Below are 7,122 nucleotides of genomic sequence, written 5' to 3'. Positions count from 1 at the left end.
TTCTTTGTTGTGATTGTTTTATGACTTTGAAGGTTACTTTAAAGCATTTTGTATTTGATTTCCTAACAGTTTAATAGAGTATCTGTACCTTACAAGGAGACTAATCAAGTGAAAGATGTTGTTGTATGAGAAATAGGAGAGGGCATAAAATGGGGTAACCCATAGCTGATTTTCCTTATCATTGGAAGAACAAAAGGAATGACTTTAATGAAAAAGAAAAAAAAATAATGAAATAAATACCAGGCACACTTAGAAATGGTGTTATGGGAATGTAGCCGTGTGTGTGTGTACGTGTGTGTAGCCGTGTGTGTGCGTGGGTGTGTGTGTATGTGTGAGAGAGACAGAGAGAGAGATTGAGGGAGGGAGGTATTTTATGAGGATATCATTGGCTTAAACATACGTGGTTTCAAGGATCCCAGGATTCCATTCTTTCTACCTTGAGACTTTGTTCTAAAGTTTTCCTTTGTGCTCTTTTTGTTTAGTTGACATATTTTCTTTTCTAGTTGGTTTCTTATAAGCCCTTCACAGTTTTTTAGTATTTTTCTGCACATGTACAGTAAGTAGGATATGTTCAGTGTGTTTTTAATTTTTTAAATGTTGAATTTAAGGTGGGCCAGGGAGCTTCCAGTCCTTGCTAATGAAGCTTAAGCTACATTTCCCACAGGGTTTCAGACATTGCGTTCTGGCATATGAGTCTCTAGGAATCAACTTGCATTGGGAAAAAGCTACTTCCCAGTAAAGAGTCAGTGCTTCAGATGTGCTCTAAAAACAACGTTCAATGCTCAGTGGTGAGGGTTAATGTAATGTCAGTCAGCTTTGTGACTTTCCTTACTACTTTCTTGCAAGTAAAATATTAGAAACATGAAACAGCTCTGTTTTGGTATGGATATAACACAGCACCACACATAGGGGAAGTGGATATTTTTGTATCTTTGGACAGAACCCAGCATGGTTTGGTGTATCCAGGCATTCCAGAAAACAGCACAGCTGTGGCATATTCATGGTTCAGCCTCCCAGAAAGGACACAGTTCCCATGTGGACAAGACTAGGTTAGGGTAGCAGCCAGCTTCCAGGCCCAGCAGAACAAGCATTGGAGGCACTACCATCTGTGAGAGATGTGCTTGGTACCTTTGGGAGTTCCATAAAACATCACTCTTGGCATAGAAGTCAGAGCTCTGATTGTCAAGAGATTACATGATGCAGCAGCAGTTGACATAAGCCTTGGGGCAAATCAGCTCATAAGAGATTCAGGCCAATTGTTGGCCTAGCACCTTATAAGGCTTTGGTGCTGCACAGTGTCTTCTGTGCCAGGGATGTCAGGCACCAGGCTGGGCCACATAGACCATAGACACAGATGCCACTAAAGAGAGTGGGGGCAGGGGAGGAGGAAAAGACAGATACCTGTGGTGGTCATGAAGGCTCAATTCTAAACCTATGCAACTTTTCCTGGGGACTGCTCAAAATAATTGGGGGTGGGCATGGGGTGGGGTGGTGATTAGGATGCTACATGTCAGGCAGTAATGGGTGAGCCCTAGGGTAAAAAATACTCTTTTTTAAGTGTAATTTTACCACCATCTACCTCATTTTTTGTCTTCTCACTTCTACTTCTACTGCTTATCAGCCTGGAAAGAAAGGCCCAGTGAAATATGTCACGTGCAACATTGATCACTTGGCCTTACTTATATTTTTGGGCGGAAACAGGCACAAAATCCCTTGCAGCTGGGCTACAGTATCAGGAACACTGAAAAAAAGTTACTGCTTTGAAGTTTTTAATTTCTTACATAGGACTCACTTTCTGCCTTTGATACTACACTTGAGTCTAAACAAATATTTACTTAAATAACCAGTTAATAGATTTTTGGAAATATTTAAAAACATATTGCTTTGCAGTTTTAGTCAAATTTAAGTACAGTAGGGTGGAGAAAATACCTTATTCACTATTTTTTCTTCCAAAGACTGGCATAATACTCAATGTTAGGTGTTGAGAGACCTTCAACTTTAGGCAGTATTTATTAATTTGATCCATATAAAACATAAAGGCAACTTCTTATCTTTTTTTCAGGAATTATAGTTTTGTTAGACTTAGAAATATTACTGAAATATTCTCCTTTAAATCGAAGAAGTCCTGTAAGATAAATTATTACTTAGAGAGAACATTATAACTTTGTCATAAAGATAGGATAAGAATTAACTAATTATCCTCTCTTTTCTGAAGACTGTTTCTCATGGCAGGGGAAGATCAAATATTAGATAGACAGTTGGACTGTTTGCCTTTTTGGCTCGAGAACAAGTGCTAATGTCTCGCAGGAGGCTGAGCAATGTTCACAAGCCATCCATGGTATAGTTTATGACTTACTGACATATGTTATGGGCAATGGAATGGGATGTCTTCTTTTTTCCCTGAGGCTTGTTAAGTATTTAAATGAGCAGACAAAACCATGCATCTCCTTTTTCCAGGCGCCCTGTGGGTCATGCTTTTTCATCTTTCTCCTTATTGAAATAGACAAGAATGGAAATGTTTGCAAATGGGGCTTACTTCCTAATTTAGCAAGCTTCAAAAAAGTGCTAACTTCTTTCCAAATATTTTCACAAAATACTCCTTACCCAGATTCGTTTTCTCACTTCAGATTTTACAGGGCTACAGGCCCTATAAGAAGTTTGGTGATTTCCACTTCCACTACCTACAGTCACATGCTGTCATTCTCCTCTCTGATCCAAGTTATAAGTTGCTGACTTTCCTGTTCTAGAACTTAAGAATTAGGAAGAAAAAATTATAAAACCGCTGCAAAAAAAATGTCCCCAAGTGAGTCAGTGTCAATTAAAGGGACTACCTGATGCAAATAGCACATCAGCACCAATTTTGTCATTTAAGAATTTTAAGATCAGAAGCAATTACATTCAATAGCACCTTGTTTTTATGTGTCTACCCTTCATAGCCTTGGCTAGTAAGCCTGCCTGCACCATAATTTACACTGACATCTAATTTCAGTGGCTCCGCAAGCAATCTAACAGAAGATGGAGATACTGAGAGGAGAGGAGTCCAACTTTGTCACTGCAGACATAAAGATTCATTATTTTTGCCAATTTCAAAACCTTATAAATATGCTTTTTTCCTCTGTTTTGCATATCTCATTACTTGAATTAATTTATTTTTAGGCAAATGATTTCTGCTTACAACTAGATGATTAAACATTTTAGCTGGTTACAAAAAGCACCTAAGTATGGTAACTATGACAGTTAGAGGTTTTTCTGTTTTAGAGAATTTGCTACAAGAAAAGCAAGCACTAATATTTATTTATTTATTTATTCATTTATTATTATTATTATTATTTAGACGTAGTCTTGCTCTGTCACCAGGCTGGAGTGGAGTGGTGCAATCTCAGCTCACTGCAATCTCTGCTTCCCAGGTTCAAGCCATTCTCCTGCCTCAGCCTCCCAAGTAGCTGGCATTACAGGCGCATGCCACCACACCCAGCTAATTTTTGTATTTTTAGTAGAGACGGGGTTTTACCATGTTGGTCAGGATGGTCTTGATCTCCTGACCTCGTGATCCACCCACCTCAGCCTCCCAAAGTGCTGGGATTACAGGCGTGAGCCCCTGCACCCAGCCCACACTAAGTCGTTTTTAAAAACGTGTAGTCACCGAGGAAGTTCTTTTTTGTGGTACACACTATTTGGAATTTCCACCCAGCTCATTGCAGTATGCCCTTTTTGGGGAATGGCGTTCGTACAAGGAAGGGACCCTCTACAGGCCACCCGGGGCCCTGTGCCCACTGCCTTTATCGCTCTACTTGGTAATTAACTCAAGAAAGCAATTGGATTCCTTCCTGGGGAATTTTAAAATTGAAAGTAGAGGGACAATTTCAGGCTTTTTCTGATGGTGAGGTTATCAGATGAGTGCCTTTGAAACTGAAGATTTCATGTTACTGAACATATGGAAGGAATAGGTATGGAGTAGATCAGAGATTCTCAACAGTGGTGCTATGAATACTTGGGGGCTAGAAAATTGCTTGTTGGCATGGGGTTAGGAGTGGGGGCTTATCTTGTGCATTATAGAATGTTTAGCAGTATCCAAGGCCTCTTACCCATTAGATTCCAGTAGCATTCCCCAGCAGTGACAACCAAAAATGTCTCCAGACATTGCCAAATGTCCCTTGGAGGGTACTGTCTCCCAACTGAGATCCACCAAAGTAGAGGAAAACAAAGCTAAATGCATGGAGAGAAGCAGAAACTGGAAATGGCAGGAGCTCCTTACAGATATTGTCCTAAATACATTTGTCCTTCTGTTGTTTCTAAGCCTCAGATCTCTTCCTATCCTTTTTATAGTTACATGAATTATACCAACCTTCTTCCAGTTGGCAGTTTTTCCCCCATTTTTCTCCCTAAAAAATTCAGCTATGGTTCTGCCATTGGTAAACAGAATATTTCTGAGTGATATGATTTTAGATTATGGTAGATTAAGTTTATTTTAAAAGGCCATTTTTTTTCAGTAGGAAAAGATATAGATACTAGAGGTATATTCTTATTCATCAACTTTATTCCCAATTGAGGAATACTTAGAAGTTTTAAATAAATAAATTAATTAAAAAGGTAAATGTGGGTGGGAGGGAATGGAGAGCAATTGTTTAATGGGAACAGAGTTTTAGTTTTGCAAGGTGACAAGAATGCTGTGGATAGATGGTGGTAATGATAGCACAACAATGTGGATGTACTTAATGCCATGTGACTTTACACTGCAAACCACCATGGCACATGTATACCTATGTAACAAAACTGCATGTTCTGCACATGTACCCCAGAACTTAAAGTATAATAGAAAAATAGTTAAGATGGTAAATTTTATGTTATATGCATATTATCAGCATAACAAAAACAAAACAAAACAAAACAAAAAAAAAAACAAAGGTAGGTGAAGGCAAGAGTAAAGGAAAGAAGAGGAAGATTGGGTTGGGCCAGGTTTGGGTTATGCATTCCTAATGAGCTTAATGGTTAGCAATTCATCTTGTAGCAGAGACACCACCCACAGTTTACAAAGTGGACAGCATTTTGCTTCTGCTTGAGATGTTATTATTCCTTCAGTAGTCACATTTGAAGAAGATATATTGAGGTACAGATGAAAACCTTCTGAATGATTTTTTGTCAGTTCTTTTGTGTTTTAAAGCTGCTTCAGGCTACCTTCAGACCTCTAGACCTGTTGCTGAATACAGGAAAGCTATCTTGTCCGTGTATGGATTTAACCCATATAGGATCCTACATCTTGAAATTCACACTTTGAAGATAATTTTGTTTTTGTTTTTGATTTTCCTTTTTCTTCTCCAAAATGGTTTGTTTTCTCAATCCTAGGGATTGATCAGTTACAGCTAGAGGCACTTAAGGCTTTGTCTTTAGAACCCCCAAAACGGACACTTGTTCATCAGGGGTCCCTAGTGTAGAGAGTGAATCGATTCTGACCATGAAGGGAAAAAGGATCTCTACAGGCACAGATTAGTAAAAATGACCATTTCAGATAGGCAGTGGGGCCAAGAAGCAAAGAGAATCTTGTAGAAATCCCGTGCTGGAGGCAAGGTGCATGTCTCTTTCATTCTGAATTCTTCCTAAGATTCCTTTCTCTGTTAATGTAACTTGAAAGTGAATTTATAATATCATCAGATACATATTTTACAGATACAACATAATACACAGATTCCTTGTTTTGAGTAGCTAATTAGAAACTATTTCTATTTAATAGAAATGAAAAAAAGTCCCTGAATAAAGCTTTTATTTTTTCCAGGGTGGGATGAAGAGGCAGATTTATAAAGCCATACAGAGTCCCTTAACTCCTTAATCATTTAGACAGGTAGTCAATTTTCTCAACAGAGGTCATCCTTTGCCCTTATATTTGTAGATGGGGTGGGGGATCAGGCAGTAAGGCCATAATCAAACTCTTTGCTCTTAGAGACAATGGATACAACACAAAATTTTTATAAAACCAGAAAGTAAAGACAAGAAAAACAAAAAGAAATGCCCATTGGATATCCCAATCAAGTTAATCTTCCATAATATTTAACTGTATTACAAATAAAGGAATGGTTTGTGGACAACTGAGGAATTTTCCGTGTGTACTTTAAACCATAGTTATAAAATATTCTGTATTTTTCTTGTCATCCATATTAAATATTCAAGGCTTGAAAAAACGATTGAGGCCTTATTATTACAAATATCTTCTAAACTGAGAATTCCCTAGTGCATGTTTTTCTAAGACATTTTAGGATATACTAGATGCTCTGTTATCTCATTGAACAGATGGGACACAGTATCACATCTCAGATAGTGTGGCCAAATTCTCAGTGCTGCATATTTGTTTCATATCCACTGCCTTTTCTTATGATTTGAGGTGGTGTGAAATTTTGGTTAGATGGTAAATTGGTTGCTTTTGAGGGTCAGGATGTACTTCTTGGAGTTTTGTCTTAGTTGTAAAAGTCCTTCAAATATGTTTACAAGGGAGAAGATGTATATTTTATGAAAAAATAAAGAAATCTGTTTGTATAAGTTCAAATACATTCCTGCATAAAAGCTTGATGAGGTCAGAAGAATTTAAACTTTTGTTGGACAATGGACACCTTTGAGAATCTAGGAAAATTATGTAATTTGTCTTACAAACCTGGACACTTTGAGAGGTTAAGTGGGGTCCGGTGAATAATTACACTGAGAGAACAGACACAAACAAGATTTATCTTGGGAAAACTGGGGGATATTGTCATTTTAAGAATTGGAAACAATGTGCTCATGTCTGCACACTACTTATATTTTATACATCACTTTGCGGAGTTCACATCTTCATATTAAGAAAGCTTGGATTAGATGCATTCATCCAACATTTATTTGTTTTCTGTCTACTTTGTCCCAGGCACTATTTTTAGGTGCTGGAGATATAGCACTGCACAAAACTGAAATATTTCCACCCTCATGGGATTTATATTCTACTGTGGTAGTCTTACAACATGGGAGTTAGTTTGACAATGCAGAATTCTAAAAATGGTACCCAAGATTCCTATCTCCTGGCTATTCAATCAGACACGAATCTATGTACTGCTGTGAAGGGACTTTGCAGATGTAGTTAAGCTTAAGAACTTCAAAATAGAG

This window comes from Homo sapiens, chromosome 6 (assembly GCF_000001405.40).
Source record: "Homo sapiens chromosome 6, GRCh38.p14 Primary Assembly".
Classification (NCBI taxonomy): domain Eukaryota; kingdom Metazoa; phylum Chordata; class Mammalia; order Primates; family Hominidae; genus Homo; species Homo sapiens.
The sequence above is the reverse complement of the archived record's forward strand: the minus strand, read 5'-3'. Positions refer to the sequence as shown.